This window comes from Homo sapiens, chromosome 8 (genome assembly GCF_000001405.40).
Source record: "Homo sapiens chromosome 8, GRCh38.p14 Primary Assembly".
Classification (NCBI taxonomy): Eukaryota; Metazoa; Chordata; class Mammalia; order Primates; family Hominidae; genus Homo; species Homo sapiens.
In genome coordinates, this window is record NC_000008.11 from 13981555 (window position 1) to 14001658 (window position 20104).

General features: G+C 36.6%; 3 annotated features.

Moving 5' to 3' along the window:
• Positions 1445 to 1614: an enhancer, noted in NCBI's record as "experimental_101563 CRE fragment used in MPRA reporter constructs". NCBI's record gives its function as "activates a minimal promoter by MPRAs in K562 erythroleukemia cells, with activity observed for both the introgressed and non-introgressed 8:13840593 variant alleles {active_cell/tissue: K562}" and the evidence as "EXISTENCE:reporter gene assay evidence [ECO:0000049][PMID:34662402]".
• Positions 1445 to 1688: a biological region, named in NCBI's record as "Neanderthal introgressed variant-containing enhancers experimental_101563 and experimental_101568".
• Positions 1519 to 1688: an enhancer, noted in NCBI's record as "experimental_101568 CRE fragment used in MPRA reporter constructs". NCBI's record gives its function as "activates a minimal promoter by MPRAs in K562 erythroleukemia cells, with activity observed for both the introgressed and non-introgressed 8:13840667 variant alleles {active_cell/tissue: K562}" and the evidence as "EXISTENCE:reporter gene assay evidence [ECO:0000049][PMID:34662402]".

Below are 20104 nucleotides of genomic sequence, written 5' to 3' on the forward strand. Positions count from 1 at the left end.
ATGAATACAGTTGTGAAAGGACATAACAGCAACATGGATGAGTAGTAGGAGACACTAATTAGGAAGAAAATGTGAGAACAAATTCTAGAGGCTCTTAAGAACCTGGATTTTGACAATGCGATTCCAATCAAAATCCCAGCAAGTTATTTTGTAGATATAAAAAAACTGTTCGTAAAGTTCATGCAGAAAAGCAAAATACCTCGAATGGCTAACACAGTATTGATGCAAAAGAACATATTTGGAGAACTGATACTATCCGACATCAAATCTTACTGCAGACATTTTGGAAGATAATTTAGTAATTTCTTACAAAATTATAAATTCTTACCATACAGTTCGGTAATCATGCTCCTTGATATTTACCTAAAGGAGTTGGAAACTTACATCCACGCAAAAATCTGCACATGGATGTTTATGGCTTTATTCATAAATGCCAAAACATTGAAGGCACTCAAGATGTCTTTCTATAAGCAAATGGACAAATAAACTTGTTCATCCACACAAGGGAATATGATTGAGTCCTAAAAAGAAATGCACTATCAAACCATGAGAAAGACATAGAGAAATCCAAAGTTCATATTGCTAAGTAACAGAAGCCAATATAAAAGGCTACATACTATACGATTTCAAATATATGACATTCTAGAAAAGGCAAAACTATGAAGACAGTAAAAGATCAGTGGTTACCGGATGTGTGAGAGGGGTGGGAGGGATGAACAGGCAGAACTCAGATGATTTTGGGGGCAGTGAAACTACTCTGTATGCTATTGTGATAGTGGACACATGTCATCATATAATTTGTCCAAACCCATAGAATATACAACACTCAAAGTGAACCCTAATGTGAACTATGAATTTTGAGTGATAATGATGAGTCAATGTAGGTTCAATTTTAAGAATTGTACCACTGTGGTGGGGGATGATGTCTATATATGTGTGGGGGTAGGGGTTATATGGAACATTTCTGTACCTTCTACTCAATTTTGCTGTGAACTTAAAACTGCTCTATAATATAGTCTATAAAAATAAAAAATAAAAATTTGCATGAAAAAGTTTGGACATAATTTGTTACAGCTTCCATTTAAAACTGAAAAAGTGAGAAGTAATGAGAAAATAAAAGTAGCAGCTGCCTAAGTAGTTGTTCCAAAAATATGCCAATACAATATTTAACTTAATAATTGCAAAACAAACACAAAACATAACTTGGATTTGTCACTGGGATGATATATTTTTATTGTACATTCTTGAGGCAAGGACTAATTAGGTGAAATTAGTATTTAAAGTAGAACAATGGTAGAAGCCATATGTAAGGAAACACATAATTTTGTTTTCTTTTGCTCATGCTCAGATTTCTAGGGAGTTGCTGTAGAAGACAAATTTAATGTAAAAGATGCATTCTTTATATTCTTCCTGTCAAAGGCATGAATTAGCTTTTTGATTATACATTGCTCTAATTCTATCAAGCCAATGCAATTTGAGTTATTATTAAATAAAATATTACATTTCTCTTTTGATAAACTTTGAATTTTTCATGTGCTTTTTTCAGTACATGCATTTTTACTTTTTAATCTTCTTTTTCTTTGTTATTCTTGCATAATATAGGATCATTTTGCTTAGGTATGCAGTACGGGGTTTCACCAATGGCGTTGTAAAAGGAGGGATATTTATTAAAATGTTCCCTTATCTAAGATTGTAATTTTTTTTTATTAATATTTGTTAAATCAATTTTCATTCTTAGGTTTTATTTTTTTATTTTATTATTATTATTTTTTTGAGATGGAGTCTCGCTCTGTTGCCCAGGCTGGAGTGCAGTGGCACGATCTCGGCTCACTGCAAGCTCCACTTCCCGGGTTCACGCCATTCTCCTTTCTTAGCCTCCCGAGTAGCTGGGACTACAGGCGCCCGCCATCACGCCCAGCTATTTTTTTTTTTTTTGTATTTTTAGTAGAGACAGGGTTTCACCGTGTTAGCCAGGATGGTCTCGATCTCCTGACCTCGTGATCTGCCCACCTTGGCCTCCTAAAGTGCTGGGATCACAGGCGTGAGCCACCGTGCCCGGCCCTTAGGTTTTATTTTTATATTTTATATTTCACAACATATCTAATCTCATTATAAATGCTTTCTGATGCTATAATTATGCTTATTTGTGTTAAACAATAGGTATTTATTGCTAAAAGATGCACATAAAATCATAATTCATAAGCTATAAAAAATGGCCCCATAGACATTTATGAACACTCTGAAATGGATATTAATGTTGACATGTGTATTTATTATAAGTACTAAATTTTCTTGGTATCCTTTGATACATTTACATATATTTTCCCTCAATATTTGAGTTGGTGTTATTTTCATTATTTCCCTATATTCTCTTCTCTGCTTTCTGGTTTTGTATTTTACTGCCCTTTTACAGGTGTCTAATCTATATAGCCAAGGAGTCAAGCTACTGAGAATTTCCTTGAAGCAGGAAATCTGTCTACGAGCTGAAAAAATGTTCAATGTCCTCTGTACCAGAAGACACTCACGGTTCATTATTGATATGAGTACCGGCAAATATTCATGTTCATCACAGAAAAGATGCAATAATTCTTGCTTCAAACACTATCTACACTATCTCTACATTTATAATTATTTCAGTGTCCATCATCCTTAAGTAGCATGAAAAAGTCATCTTCCATGTCTTACGTAACGTCAGAAAGCACACAGTCTTTAACTTGATGCTTCAAAGGTTATCAGTGTAATTCTACTTGTGACTGTGAAAAAAAAAAAAGAAAAAATGATTAAGATGATAACTTTGTGTAAATGTAGTCAATAATTTTCTAAGACCACTTGTTTAATGTAACCTAAAAATGGTGCTCCTGTCATGTTTTTGTCATACTTATTTGAGATTTTTGTAAAACTTTTTATCGAGAAATAAACAATTTTTTATAAGAACTTAAGAGTGGTTGAATTAGTACAATTTTAATTATTGAGCAGCAATATATTTTTCAATAAAATTATTTTAACTTATTTATATAATTTTTTCTTGGAGTTAGAATTTATTAAAGCATATGATGCCATGTATCTTTTTTTTATACTTTAAATTTTAGGGTACATGTGCACAAAGTGCAGGTTAGTTACATATGTATACGTGTGCCATGTTGGTGTGCTGCACCCATTAACTCGTCATGTAACATTAGGTATATCTCCTAATGCTATCCCTCCCCCCTCCCCCCACCCCACAACAGGCCCCAGTGTGTGATGTTCCCCTTCCTGTGTCCCTGTGTTCTCATTGTTCAATTCCCACCTATGAGTGAGAACATGCAGTGTTTGGTTTTCTGTCCTTGCGATAGTTTGCTGAGAATGGTGGTTTCCAGCTTCATCCATGTCCCTACAAATGACATGAACTCATCATTTTTTATGGATGCATAGTATTCCATGGTGTATATGTGCCACATTTTCTTAATCCAGTCTATCATTGTTTGACATTTGGCTTGGTTCCAAGTCTTTGCTATTGTGAATAGTGCCACAGTAAACATACGTGTGCATGTGTCTTTATAGCAGCATGATTTATAATCCTTTGGGTATATACCCAGTAATGGGATGGCTGGGTCAAATGATATTTCTAGTTCCAGATCCCTGAGGAATCGCCACACTGTCTTCCACGATGTTTGAACTAGTTTACAGTCCCACCAACAGTGTAAAAGTGTTCCTATTTCTCCACATCCTCTCCAGCACCTGTTGTTTCCTGACTTTTTAATGATTGCCATTCTAACTGGTGTGAGATGGTATCTCATTGTGGTTTTGATTTGCAGTTCTCTGATGGCCAGTGATGATGAGCATTTTTTCATGTGTCTTTTGGCTGCATAAATGTCTTCTATTGAGAAGTGTCTGTTCATATCCTTCGCCCACTTTTTGATGGAGTTGTTTGTTTTTTGTTGTAAATTTGTTTGAATTCATTGTAGATGCTGGATATTAGCCCTTTGTCAGATGAGTAGATTGCAAAAATTTTCTCCCACTCTGTAGGTTGCCTGTTCACTCTGATGGTAGTTTCTAGGTATCTTTTAAGGAGCCCTTTAAAATTATCAATTGATATGAATTATTAAATATTGAAAATGTGTCTGATGATTGTATCTATATATCTGTCTTATAGGTATTTGACAAATGGTGCATTTTCTTAAGGCAGACTAATTTAGAGAGGAGAGATTAATTTTAATAAAAACAGAATACAAACTATTTCAAGAAAATTGTCACCGATTTTCATGCTAGTGTTCCAATCTGAAAATTATCTATACACCTTTTTGTTCACTACAGTTGAAATTCTTTAAATATTACTAAAGTATTCTGAGAATTTCAATTACTGTTTATTATAGTTGAGATCAGTACCAGGCATTATTTCTATGGCTTTCAAGAGATTTCAACAACAAGATGCTACTATCTTAGTCTGTTTGGGCTGCTATAAAAAATGCCATAAACTGGGTGTTTATAAAAAACAGAAATGTCTTTATCACAATTCTGGAGGCTAGGAAGTCCAAGATCAAGCAGCAGGCAGATTTGGTGTCTGGCAAGAACCCACTTTCGGGTTCATAGGTGGCGTCTTCTGTCTGTAACCTTACACAGCAGGAGAGGACTTAGTTCATTCTACTGTTATGACTCCTATATACTCTCTTACATTATCCACACTGATCCTCTCTGGCCATCAACCACATTAAACTTTCCTAAGTTAGACTCCACTAATCTATATTAAGTAAACAACCGTAATTATTGAATTAGTTCTTCTTGAGAGGGAAGTGGCTACTAATTCATCTCAAAACCTACCTGTGTATTATTGGAGAGATTTTTAATACCTGGAAGAATATTTTGACTTGTTGGAGAAAACATTTTGAAGAGAGGAGAAAGACTTTTTGAATTCTGTGTCTGTTTGTGTCTTCTAGGAAGCAGATGCCAAGGGGATAGGAGGGAAGAACACTTGTGAAAGATGAAGGGGAAAAGAAGCATGGTGAGTCAAGGAGAAACTTAAGACTTTGATGCAGTTCTGACATATGGTAAGAATACGAGGAAAGATGTAAAATTTGAGTTTCAGAAAGAACCTGGTACCGAGGTGCAGCTCTGAGACTGTATGGCCATGCCAGAAATGGAATGCCAAAGATTGCCTTTAGAGGTGCCCCATGTTGGGCAGAAATGGCCAGATCCCAGCAACCTTGCTGTGCTCAGTCATTGCCTGGAAGTGGCTAAGGAAGAAGGTGCGTTTGACTTGAACTCTGTGGCAGATCCCCAAGGCACTGTGGCTGGAGCCTGTCAGCAAGATATACTCCTTATAGCAGAGTCTCACTTAGCAAGAGATCTTATAAAATTTGCTGCTGCAAATATTTTGCCTAAAACTCCATACTCAAGTAAAAAGCTACACTGCTGTCCCTGTTTTCATGCACTCAAAGTCACTTTATTCTGAACCTACACATATTCATCCAGTGTTTTATTTCTAAATATTTGCTATGTTTTGACAAAAGTATATAATTACTTTTATCCTGATTTTTGCTGCATTCTTCCTTTTATTTTCATTATATTCCATTGTATACCTCATGTACTTACCTATGTTTGTTCATTATTTAATTACTAAATATATACAGCTAGTTTATTACACATGTAAACTGAGTTATTTAGATAGGCAGTATATGCACTTTGTAGAAATTTCAAGTGTACACATACTTTTATCTGTAGTAGGAGACTCAACTTGTGAAGGGATCCTTCATTAATTATTCCATAAACGTTTACCTTTTTAGCACAGGCTATAATCCCCCTGCTGTACTGCAATGCATGCCTGCTATACCATGACTGTTTTATATATGTTAAAACTGAACCAAAATAAGAATCATTTCTTGCATGATTTTTTTTTTTTTCAAGACAGAGTCTCATGCTGTCGCCCAGGCTGGAGTGCAGTGGTGCAATCTCAGCTCACTGCAACCTCTGCCCCCATGGTTCAAAGGATTCTCCTGCCTCATCCTCCTGAGTAGCTGGGATTATAGGCACCTGCAACCACACCTGGCTATTTTTTTTTATTATTATTTTTAGTAGAGATGGGGTTTCACCATGTTGGCCAGGCTGGTCTCAAACTCCTGACCTCTGGTGATCCACCCGCCTTAGCCTCCTGAAGTGCTAGGATTACAGGCATGAGCCACAGCACCCAGTCTCTTGCGTGATTTCATACATCTTATCTCAAAAAGCACTCTTTGAGGACAACCTGTCCATGTAGAATAAGCATAACAAAATATAGCATACAAGGGAGTAGTTGGCATGTTTATCTGATAAAAAACCTACCGTATTCCTGTCATTGGACTGCTAGATTTGCAGTTTGTGCCTATTAAATTTTCTTTATTCCTGATGGTGATATTTGATTAATGCCATGTGAAAATAGGTGGCCTGTAATATATATCTATTTTTCTGTTCTAGAAAAAAATACAAATTTATGATCTGAGTGATGATAAATTAGGCACACAGAATAAAGTGAAATTTGTGCTAAATGGCATGTCTCCTGAAGCACTGGGTCTTCACATTAACTCTGAGCTAAGAAAAAGCTTCAGTTATTTCTCCTTACTGATCAGCAGGAATTAATGCCGTGAAGATGTGCAGAAGCCTGGAATGTGATAAAAGGTTCAGTGTGGTTGGCCAGATACCATTCAGGATGGGAGTTCTGGCTGATCAAGGGATATAACCATCTTCCCTTTTATTACTTATTTTCTGTTTATCCTGCTTATTATATGGCAAGCTTTCTGCAAAAGCTGAGAAAAGTTGTATGTAATGTACAAGACAAGAAGAAAACAGAGGAGAAATACATTGGCGGACAGATAGGATCTAAGAAGTGATGCAGAGAGCAGTCTTGACATACAAAAAAATACAGTCACTAGAGAGTGACAGACATAGATAAATTCTGATCAGAGCCTTTGCCTCTCTGAGTGGCAGAGAATCACCTTCACAGCAACACTCTGCTCACAAACTATTTTTTTCTTTGCTTTATACTTAATAGAGTTGTCTTCTTAATTATACATTATAATACATACAAGATGCTTAGAACAGTGTATGGCATATGACAAGCCTTCTAGAAATGTAATCTTCTGTAAAGCACAGTAATGCTAAAAGTATGGCAAGTGTGATGGTTAATTTTAGGTGTCGATTTGATCGAATTGGAGACTTAGAGAGCTAGTAAAGCAATACTTCTGGATGTGTCTGTGAGGGTGTCTTTAAAGGAGATTGGCATGTAAGTTGGTGGACTGAGTGGAAGGGATCTGCCCTCAATGTGGATAGGGGTCCAGAGAGAACAAAAAGAATCTCTCTCTGCCTTTTTTTCTCTCTCTCCTCTGAAGCTGAGACACCATTCTTTTCCTGCCCTTGCACCCAGAACTCCAAGTGGTCTGGCCTTTGGACTGCAGGATTGATACCAGTAGCCTCCCTCAATACCCTGGGTTCTCAGGCCTTCAGTGTCAAATTAAAGGGTTTTATCACTGGGTTTTCTGATTCTGAACATAGAAAATAGAGCTGAGAGAGTGATAGACAGAGATCAATTCTTTTTTTCTTTTTCTTTGTTTTGTTTTGTTTTTTTGAGATGGAGTCTTGCTCTCGCTGTGTTGCCCAGGTTGGAGTGCAGTGGCATAATCTCGGCTCACTGCAACCTCCGCCTCCCATGTTCAAGCAATTCTCTTGTCTCAGCCTCCCAAGTAGCTGGGACTACCAGCACCCATCACCACTCCTGGCTAATTTTTGCATTTTTAGTAGAGATGGGGTTTCACCATATTGGTCAGGCTGGTCTCAAACTCCTGACCTCAGGTGATCCACCCTCCTAGGGCTCTCAAAGTGCTGGGATTACAGGCATGAGCCACCACACCCGGCTGACACAGATCAATTCTAACTAGAGTCTTCACCTCTCTGAGAGGTAAAGAATCACCTTTATAGCAACACTCTGCTCACAAACAACTTGGATAACTTATTTTTCTTTGCTTTATACTTAAAATAGTTGTCTTCTTAATTTTACATGAGAGTACACATAAAATGCTGAGAACGGTGCATAGAATATGACAAGCCTCTGTAAGCATAAATTCCAGTCTTTTGGACTTGGATTGAGCCACACTATTGGTTTCCCAGAGACTCCAGCTTCCAGGCAGCCTGTTGTGGGGCTTCTCATCCTCCATTATCATGTAAGCCAATTCCTCTAATAAATCCTCTCTTATCAGTGTATCTATCAATCCATCCATCCATCCATCCATCCTGATATCTGGCTATCCATCCACTCAATCCTCTAGTCAGAGTTCTCCAGATATTGGTTCTATCTAGAGAACCCTGACTAATACAGAAGGTAATATGGTTCAGCAAGTCTAGGAAAGGGAGAGGGAGACTCTGTATGGTAGTACACTGCTTCCTCACCATTTTCATGTCAGAGAACACACACAGGTACAAACACACACACTTGAGTGCGTGCACTTCTGGAGAGACTTACATCCTTCAACACTTTGGAGAAAATTGGAAAGAAAATGATAAGTCTAGTCTCTCACTCCTTCTGATACTTTAAAAAATACATTATTTAAGGTTGTTGCACAGGTGTTTCCTTAGAGATGGTTTTAAAGTAAACAGTGTTACCGTGAATGTGTTATTTGGTTTCCACAATTCTTGAAGCAAACTTGACTGGAGTCAGACTTTCCAGAGCGGCATTATTATGATGTTCCTAAAAAAGCTAAATTCATTTTCCTTTTTAAAAATAAACTAATATTATTTTACACAAACTGCACACCATGCATAACTGAAAGCTGAGTATAAACAGTATAATTCTTTTTCCTCCATATAGTTTTATATAAGGAATTCAAAGAGGATTGTCAGCTATTAAAAATAGCAGTAACTGGGTAAAAGAGAAATGGTGCACACTGAAATACTAGTGATGCAAACTCAAGAAGATTAAACATTTTGTTCATGAATTTGGTGAAAAATAATGGTTGGTTTAATGGCAACGTAAAATTCGGACTTTATCCCAGTTTGAGTTTAATAAGCTAAAGTGACCATCATTCAATCTAGTATTAAAGATTTTGTGAGTCAAATATACTTTTTTCCCTATAATATCAGCAATCTACATCTTAACCATATTTTATGAATATCAAATCATCAGTATTTATTTACTGATTTTTTCCCCATATATTTGGAAGTCTTAAAGCCATTGTAGGCAAAACATATTATTATTTGTCTGTGAACACAAGCAATGCACACAAATAAGCTGGAGCTTTAATAACATTCTGTGTCCCAAATAGACATGTAATGTAATAAAATGTTTGTAGTTGATATTAAATGTAATAGATTAGGCTAGGAGTGAGTCATATTCTACTCTACCTCCATTGGACCTACAATCTAATTAGACTGTTAACAGTAAATTTGTTGCCTTGTTAGTTAGGTTCGCTCCAAGTGCTAATTTTATACACCAAATAAACAATGCCAGGCACATCCTGACAATGGAATATTTGTGTTTGAGAAAGACAATTCACATCAAAGAACAATCAGTCTGGAATGTAGGAAATGGCTTAATACATCTGTGATGAGACATCAGCTTATGTACTGAAGAGGTCGTAACACTCAATAAGTCGGGCTTTTACAGTCAAAGCAGGGGAATAGACAACAAGAGAACTGAGAGTATGAAGCTGAGTGGGCTTGTATATTAGTAAGTCCTGCGAGGAGATAAGTTGGGAATGAGAATTTCTCTACCTGTCTTTCATTCTTTATGAGAAAAGAAAACTTAGGTACCCATCTCCTGTGGGAAACTTAACTCTGCTTAGAAAGTTCTTCCTGTGATAACTGTATCCCAAATGTCTGACAAAAGATGCCCTACAAAATTGCATTATACAAGGTAAACTTGATCCAATGTCACAGTCTGGGGGAAAAATAGTCTGCATGATCAGAGTTAGATACTGAAAGAAGAAAAGGACCACTTGGGAAGATGAGCAGGTGAGAAAGGTAGAATTTTGAGGAATATAACACGTGGTTGCTGGAAGAAGTCCCTCTGTGATGACAATATATACACAAGAAGAGATTCCCAGTGTCCAGAAATTATTTCATAACTAGATTTTTGATGAAAGGCTAGATCTGAGGATAAAAGTTTAGAGAAGCCTATGGTATTTACACATTTACTGAAGGAGTATGTATGGGAAATGAAGAGAGGAGGACAGAGCTTGCCCTAGTCAGGTATGCAAATATTTTCCAACTTAAAGGCTCAAAGGGGAGACTAAAGTTTATTTTTTTAATATTCAATTGCAACATATACAAGTAGTTTTGCTTAAGAGAAAAAGTCAATGTTAGAATGAATGTCCTCTCATTTCATTTTATAAAGCTTTCACTGATGGGTTTTCCGGCATTGTAGACCTCTCCTGTGTCATCCATATTGTGGTTCTATGTATTCTGAAGGGAGTTGCAGTTGACTTGCAATTTCTCATCCAGTATTAACCTTAATTTATGCACTCATGTGATAGTTCTCAAATAGTTGTCTCATCAGAACAAGTAAGGCTGCAATAGCACTTTTTAAATGTTACTAAATTTCTTTTTTTTTCTGCCCAGCTTCTGTGGAAAACACTTTCAAGTTCATTAGATCAAACTTGTTGAGAATGGCTGACATCTGAGAATCAAACCAACACTCCTCAGCATTGAGTCAAAAAGTCACAGAAGGTATTGTTTAAACCTCCTTAAGATGGCCTTGAACCTCCTTAAGATAGCAAAGAGAGAATAAGGGCTAGAGCCATTCCATAGAATAGATAGATTATTTTGGGGGAAAATAAGATCTTTGGAATTTTATATTTTCAAGGACAAAAGTTAAGAAAGAATAGCAAGAAATGAATATATGATGAACATTTTTAAACATATAGTACCTGGGGTAAATTCACGGTAAGAGATCCTTAGTTAAATATATGTTTTATGGCACTTTGGTTAGCTTATAGACTAACCTGAGTTTTAAAATGAGTCTTACTACAGTAAAATTTCAGATATCTGGTTGTCTCAGAGAATAAGAAATTTGTGTGCATTCAAATTCCAAGCATAGAAGCTTTAGAATGAGGACAGTATAATTATGGCCGAAAGTGCTGCCACTAAAAGTGTGGCTGCTGCTTCCTTTGGATAGTGTTACTAAGCAATGGCTTCCCAGCCAAGGACTACATGTTTAGGTGTCTTATGCCAAAAGTTATGGTCATGCGACATAACTTCAAAATATCAACAAAGGCAATTACATGGATGCCTTTTTCCTTCTACTTCCTGCAGAGTGTGAACAGGTGGTTCCTGGAGATTAAAAAGCGATCTTAGTGTTGTCTGCAGTGACTATGGGGAAGCTATTGCATAAAAAAGCAGGGTTTCACTGAGGGAGTACTTGAAATGATGGGAGTAGATGAGACCACCGGGGGAAAGTTTATAGAATGAAAACAGTAGTAGGTTAAAGACAGAAGCCTAAGAAATACCGATACGCAAAAGATAAGAGGGGAATATAAGAAAAGCACATAAATAACTTGCATTGATTGGTGAAGGCCCTTAAATAGAGGAACACTGGCCAGAGACCTGGAAGGGACTATTGTGTCAGTGACGGGGAGTAGAGAGTTTGAAGTGGGCAATGAGTGTTTTGCTGTTAGCACTGGCAATAATACAGGGGCACAAAAGTATTCTTTCATTTTGAAACTTTGCAGTTTTGGGAATGACTTGACAATAACTTCAAATGGATGTTGGGGGCAAAATTTTGAGTGTGTTTTGAATAAGGAAAGAGAAGTGGGGAAGTAAGCACCATGGAGTAGACAGCTCCACAGAAGGTTCAATGCAAAGGGAGAAGGGAGGCTTTATGGAAGAGATCACAGGCTCAAAGGAGGGGATGCGGGCACATTTATTGGTTGAAAGAATGAATTCTGTAAAGGGAGTAAAACAACAAAGATGACAGGGAGGAGATCAGATAGTTTAGCCTGGTCCTAGAGAAGGTAGGAGATGAAATTTAAAATGCAGGTAATGGAACTGGATTTAAAGAAGAAAGGGACAGATTTGTATCCTTGGATTAAAGCAATTAAGGATGATTGCTGAGGTTGGCAAATTTGCAGTGAGAAAGAGGCATAAATTGAACCATGTCCACATTCAGTTTTCCTCTAGCCTCCATATAATAAAAGATACAATTGGCTGCCTTGAAAGACAGATTGGTGGTTGTATTGCTCGCATCAACTCTGGCAAATCATCCAACCATCTAAATAACCAATTGGCAAATATTAATCTAGAATTTACTACATTCTAGTAACTTTAAGAAGTATAGTAGCAAACAAGACATGCATGTTACTCTTTTCTCCTTTATAGAGATTTTGATGTAGTAGGAAATGTTACTAAATTACAATTGATTAAAATATATCTCTTTAGAAAATAAGAGAATGGGATTTAAGTGTTTATCAGATTGTTTCTTACTAAGTAGTTAAACAAATCTGAGGGATTTAACACAAACAAGGGAGCAGACCAATTTACAGTTTGTGGTTTATATTTATCATCATCTGCTATCAGATTAATATTAAACTTGAAAATTCAAATGCATGACAGAAGTAGCAAAATAGGACTTTATATTGTAATGAAGTGCATATTTACAAGAATAAATATAATTGCAATGTCTGTACTCAAATGGATATTTAGTAAAGAATTATGGTCAATAGCAAAGGCCTCTTGAAAATTTCAAAGTGACATGATAAATGTAGAATTCTGCTACTGTTATAATAGTCAAATCTTTATTATTTGCTTGCTGTCTTTCTCTTACTCTCTCAAAAGTCTGTGTCTATGTACATATTCTTTAGTTGTGTCAGAGTAAATTAGTTACCTTAAATCTACACTATTGACTTACTAGTGACTCAGTTGTCCCTACACCAGAAATAAATCATCTAAGGTTAAAAGTTTCTTCATAAATTTGCAAATTAATTTATTAAAAACTTGAGACATTTTTAAAAAATTAATATTTATTTATGTTTATTATACTTTAAGTCCTGGGATACATGTCCAGAACGTTCAGGTTTGTTACACAGATATACACATGCTATGATGGTTTGCTGCACCCATCAACCTGTCATCTACATTAGGTATTTCTCCTAATGCTATCCCTCCCCTTGCCCTCACAGTGAAGACTTTTTTCATATTCAAAAAATACTAAATAACTTGGGGTTTATTTTAAAAAAATACATAGTTGATATAGTTCGGATGTTTGTCTCATCCAAATCTCAAGATGAAATGTAATTCCCAATATTGAATGTGGGGAATAGTGGAAGGTATTGGATCATGGGATGGATCCCTCATGAATGGCTTGGTACCCTTCTCACAGTAGTGAGTGAGTTCTCGCTCTGAGTTGATGCCAGATCTGGTTGTTCAAAAGAGTGTGGCATCCTCGTTCCCCCACGGCTTGCTCCCACTGTAGCCATGTAATGCACTCCTCCACCTTCACTTTCTGCCATGATTGGAAATTTCCTGAGGCCCTCACCAGAAGTAGAAGCAGACACCACACTTCTTGTACACCCTGCAGAACTGAAAGCCAATGAAACATCTTTACTTTATAAATTATCCAGTCTCAGGAATTCCTATATAACAATGCAAGAATGGACTGAAACAATAGTATAAAATTAGTGTAACTTCTGATCATGGTTCCACTTTTTATTACAGACCTTCAATTTTCTAGAAATAAAGGAAAGTGTTAATTATAAACATTTTCACAATGACTAAAGTAGTTGATATGGTTTGGCTCTGTGTCCCCACCCAAACCTCACCTTGAATTGTAGTAATCCCCACTTGTCAAGGGCAGGACCAGATTGAGATAATTAAATCATGGGGGTGGTTTCCCCAATGCTGTTCTCATGATAGTGAGTGAGTTCTCAGGAGATCTGATGGTTTTATAAGAGGCTTCCCCCTTTGCTTGGCCCTCATTCTCTCTCCTGTCCTCTTGTGAAGAGGTGCCTTCTGCCATGACTGTAAGTTTACTGAGGCCTACCCAGCCATGTGAATCTGTGAGCCATTTAAACCTCTTTTCTTTATAAACTACCCAGTCTTGGGTATTCCTTCATAGCAGCCTGAGAATGGACTAATACAGTAGTTTTACGGGGTGAAATGTCATGAGCCAGTAAAGAAAAATAATTATTCAATCAGTGAAAATCTGTTCTTCAGTAAAGGATGTCTTTAGGTCAGCTTGTGCTACAGGTACAAGAAATGATTATTCTAAAAAAATTATCATCCCCAGGCAAGAGATCCTTATCCTTCAAGGCAAGAGAGATGGAGCTATTGGAATATTCTTTTTCCTTGATCAAAATATCCTTCATCGGGGAAATATTCTCTTGCAAAAATACCACAGCTGTCTGGTAAGCCATTTATGACACAGCCTTAAACCCTTTGAAGGTAAGTAACACAATTTGATGTATATATTCATTTGTCATTTATAAACTATTTTATAGTTGCCCTATTTCCTCAAAAAGAGTACTGCTTCATGGCAGAAAATATGTAAGCTCTTTCTCTCTTCTACAATGCCTGGCAGAATATTGGATATTTGGAAACATAAATATCTGTGTTTTGAATACCTCAATGTTGTAATCTGTGAGACTCATTCTAGAAAACCACTAAAGTGCTATTTTGATGATTATTGCAATTTTATTTGAAAGCATTGCTAAAATGGACTAATTATGATATTTTGGGAGTTTTTTTCTAAATTGTTTTCTCATTTCCCATCTTCATAAGATGCAGTATGACTAAATAATATTCACGATCCCATTTTGAACAAGAAAAATAAAATGCATCTTGGTGTTCAATTAAATTACAAATGACTTCAAGGTGTCAATGTCTTTTTGGTTCTAGAAAAGACTTTCAAATTATACTGCTTAACAATGACATTTATAAAATGCTTTATATTTTTCAAAATGCCTTCACATAATGAAATTGTTACTAGCAACTCAAGGTTGCTTTTGATTCAATAGAAGAAATATTTTGGTAATGAAATTTTGCCGCCTCAAATGTGCAGAAAGCAAAACCATCTATTTTATGCTGCAAAGCAAACCAGGCATTTTCAAGAATAGCTAGTAGTCTGACGCTTCTGAAAAAAAGTTACATAGTACAGGTCTAGAGGGAGTTCTGGAGAACATTCAAGAAGGGTCTGCATTGATTTCGAAAGCATTAGAATCCATCTACTAAAGTCCATAATAGAAACTGAGTACTTAAAGCGTCTTTCAAGCCAACATTTTCCTGCTAGAACATATTTTATTTACATTGTGATCACTTCAGAGAACGAAATAGTGGGTGACATCATTCAAATATCTCCTTAAAAACAATTGTTGATTTTTTCCCCATAAGTCTACATTAAAAAAATTTAAAGAAACTTAAAAATCTATTGAAAGTTGAAGTGTTTATTATGGTGCTCTGAGCTTGAGTAACTATAGGTAAATTTAAATGATGTAATTATAGCAATTAAGTGTGGAACTGGTAGGACATTTCCAGTTTATTATATGTCATATAGACAAATTAATCATCACCCAGGAACTTGAAATGCTGTAAGTGTTGAATTTTAACATATTTTAAATTGGTGTCTACCTTTATATTAGCAGAACTTATAATGCTTAAAGTAAACCACCCAGATGTTTCAAATGATTACATAAACAAATAATATTCCATATTATTATGATTTTTCCTGCTTGTATATGATATACTGTTGATAATGCAATCCGTTAGGAAAAGACAAACGTTTCTAGCATTGTTCTCCCAGAATGTTTGAAGTATTTCTGTTTGTGTGGATATGCACTGGACAATCCAGGTACATAAATGATCAATGTTGTTCTTTAACAGAGATCTAAGCCACTGGGGGAGAATGGATAGCCTGGTCTGGGGGCTGATTTTATGAAGAACTTCTAGGCGTAGATACAAGAAGTGGGTTCATAAGCATCAAGCCCTGCAAGGCATTGCACGAATGAATAAAATGCCTTTTCAAAGTAGGTCCTCCAAAAGATCTACCTAAATGGTAAAGCAAGAGGTAGAAGTGTTAACACAAATAATCAGATTTTGATAAACATATATGGCAATGATTATTTTGCCAAGTCAGCAATTCCCCAAAATATGGTGCCTTGACACGCTAAGTGCTTTGAAAATTACAAGGGCTCAGAAATAAACCCCAGGACCATGGTCTCTCTATGACCTTTCCTCTCTGCCCCTGTCTTTCTCATCCTTTCTGAAAGGACTAGGAGAAGCTCCCTCTAGAATTTTCACATTTAAGAAAATTTCTTTCCAAAAGAAATGCAATTATATTAAGCCACCCTCCCTAGGAATCTCACCAAATAACCAGGAAAGATCAACCACCAAAGAAGATAAAAGACTGGGGGTCTCCACCACGCTCAGACAGACTTTTTAATCTATCTTCTGTGAACAGCTCCAACAGACTACCTGAAAGACTTTATCTGCATAGTAAGACAACCTTTGTTCCAGTGAACCGTATGGTCTGAATAATGGGCTGGTTCATTTCCCCACTCTCCTTCTTCTGTGAATAAGCCATTTAAGCCTCAATCATCTGGTCCATCTTTGAGTTCATAATTTAAACAATTCCCATGCATGTGTGTGTACATAATAGTAATATATTTGTTATTTTTTCTCTTCTTATCCTGCCTTTTGTTATAAGAGTGTCAGCCATGACTCTTTATAAAGGGGAGAAAAGAAATCACTCCATTTGCATCTATAGAAAGCATTATATGCAGTCTAGGGGTGATTTAAAACAGTGGTCCCCAGTCTTTTCGGCACCAGGGACTGGTTTCATGGAAGACAATTCTTCCATGGACTCAAGGGCAGGGGATGCTTGGGGGATGATTCAAAAACAATACATTTATTTTGGACTTTAATTCTGTTATTATTGTAATATATAATGCAATAATTATACAACTCACCATAATGTAGAATCAGTGGGATCCCTGAGCTTGTTTTCCTGGAAATAGATGTTCGCCATCTTGGGCTGATGGGAGAGAGTGACACCCGAATTGTGTTGCTTAATCCTGTTGTAGTTGCTGTCACTGCAGAAAACCCTGCTTCCCTAAGGTAGAATTTTGGAAATGGAAGCAGGCTTTTCAATGCTTTTGTGTTAACTTCAGGATATGCCCCTGCCTTGACTTTAATCCAGAATGTATGGAGACTTGAAGTTGTCTCAAACATACTTTTAAGGTCAGTGTCATTTGCAAGCTCAAGCAGTTGATCCTCTTCCAGTGTGGACAAAGCCAATTTACCTGTTTAATTCACAAATGGGTTGCGCATCCACCATTCCTTCCCAGTTTGGGGGTCTTTCGTGGTTGGGAAGTAATGGTCAAACTCTTTTGAAAGCTGAGATATGTGATCATGCACCACCTGGGGGAAAGAAGGTCCTGGCTCAGTCTCTTTCAAAAATCTTTGCTAATGTTTGAAACATGTCAGAAGTCCCAGTGTTCATTCATCACTACCATAACACCACTTTGGCTTTGAATGCAGCCACTTTATCTGTTGACTTTAACAGAGTTGTCATTCTCCCCTGAAATGACAGATTGAGTTTGTTGAGCAGGTTGAATATGTCACACAAGTAAGCAAGTTTTGCGACCCATTCTGTGTCACTGAAATGTGCTGCCAGTGGTGACTGTTTTTCTAAAAGAAATCTCTGGAGCGACTCTTATAACTCAAAAATTCTGGCCAGTGATCTACCTTTAGAAAGCCATCTCACTTCTGTGTATAAGAGAAGACGTGTGTGCTCTGCGTCCATCTCCTCACAGAGCTGCACAAACAGACGTGAGTTAACAGCATGTACTTTAATGTGGTTGTTAATTTTAATCACATCCTGAAAAACGTTAAGTTCAGGTGACATTTTGTGGCTAGCCAACATTTCTCTGTGGATGACAGAGTGTGTAGACTTAGATTCAGAAGCGACCTCTTTGACCCGAGTCAGATTTCAGTGATTATCATGTTGAAATATACAATTACATGATAATTCCTATTGTTAATAGAAATGCTTATGCAGTGAAAAGATCTATGAGCTGGAGTATTTCTGTTTTATTGTTTTCAATCTAAATATTGTACGTTTAATGTATGAGAAGAACATTAAACTCCCATCACTTAAGCATAATAACTGCCTCATGTATCTATATAATGTTTCAAAGACATTTTTAGGCCATTTAAGCTTTTTTTTTTTTTGAGACAGTTTCCTTCTGTTGCCCAGGCTGGAGGGCAGTGGCGCGGTCTTAGTGCACTAAAACCTCCGTCTCTTGGGTTCAAGCGATTCTGCTGCCTCAGCCTCCGGAGTAGCTGGGATTATAGGCACCCACCACAACACCTGGTTGATTTTTGTATTTTTAATAGAGATGGAGTTTCACTATGTTGGCCAGCTTGGTCTCGAATTCCTGACCTCAGACAATCTGCCCTCCTCGGCCTCCCAAAGTGCTGGGATTACAGACTTGAGCTACCGCGCCTGGCTTAAGCTTTTTAATTTATAATAAATATCCACTGAAAGATTTATAATAAATATCCACTGAAAGATTTCCTGTTAAATTTAGTGCAATATTTTAAGTGATCGGCAGAACTTTATTTTTTATTTTTTTTTAACTTTTATTTTAAGTTCAGGGGTGCAAGTGCAGATTTGTTACATAGGTAAAATGTGTCATAGGGGTTTCCTGCACAGATTATTTCATCATCTGTGTATTAAGCCTAGTACCCGTTAGTTATTTTTTTTTTTTTTATCCTTTCTTTCCTTCCACCTTCCACCCTCTGAATGGCCCCAGGGTGTGTTGTTCCCCTCTGTGTGTCCATGTGTTCTCATCATTTAGCTCCCACTTAAAAGTGAGAACATGTAGTATTTGGTTTTCTGTTTCTGAGTTAGTTTGCTAGAGATAATCGTCTCCAGCTCCATCCATCTCCCTGCAGAGGACGTGATCTTGTTCTTTTTATGGCTGCATGGTAGTCCATGGTGAATAGGTACCACATTTTCTTTATTCAGTCTATCATTGATGGGCATTTAGGTTGATTCTGTCTTTGCTATTGTGATTAGTGCTACAGTGAACATGCATGTGCATGTATCTTTATAATAGAATGAATTATATTCCTTTGGGTGTATAGCCAGTAATGGGATTGTGGGGTTCCATTTGAGCAATCGCCACACTGTCTTCCATAATGGCTGAACAAATTTTCACTCTTACCAATAGTGTATAAGCATTCTTTTTCTCCATAACCTTGCCAGCATCTATGTTTTTGATTTTTGTTTTCTTTTGACATTTTATTAATAACCATTCTGACTGATTGAGATAGTATCTCATTGTGGTTTGTATTTGCATTTCTCTAATGATCAGTGATATTGAGCTTTTCTTCATAAGATTGTTGACTAAATGTATCTCTTCTTTTGAAGAGTGTCTGTTCATGTCCTCTGCCCACTTTTTTTATGAGGTCATTCTCTCATTCTGTTGGTTGTCTTACTCTGTTGATAGCTTCTTTTGATTTGCAGAAGCTCTTTAGTTTAATTACATACCATTTGTCAGTATTTGGTTTTGTTGCATTTGCTTTTGGCATTTCATTATAAAATCTTTGCCCATGCCTATGACCTGAATGGTATTGCCTAGGTTGTCTTCCAGGGTTTTTATAGTATGGGGTTTTACATTTACATCTTTAATTAATCTTGAGTTGATTTTTGTATATGGTGTAAGGAGGGGTCCAGTTCAGTCTTCTGCATATGGTTAGCCAGTTATCCAAGCACCATTTATTGAATAGGAAATCATTTACCCCATTGCTTTGTCAGGTTTGTTGAAGATTAGAAAGTTGCAGGTGTGCAGTCTTATTCCTGGGTTCTCTATTCTATTTCATTCGTCTGCGTCTCTTTTTATATCAGTACCATGCTGCTTTGGTTATTGTAGCCCTATAGTATAGTTAGATATCAGGTAACATGATGTCTCCAGTTTTGCTAGAATTGCCCTGGCTATTTCAGCTCTTTTTTTTGTTCCATATGAATTTTGAAATAGTTTTTTTTTTTCAGTGAAGAATGTCATTGATAGCTGGATAGGAATAGCATTGATTCTGTGAATTGCTTTGAGCAGTATGATGATTTTAATTATACTGATTCTTCATATCCATGAGCATGAAATGTTTTTCCAGTTGT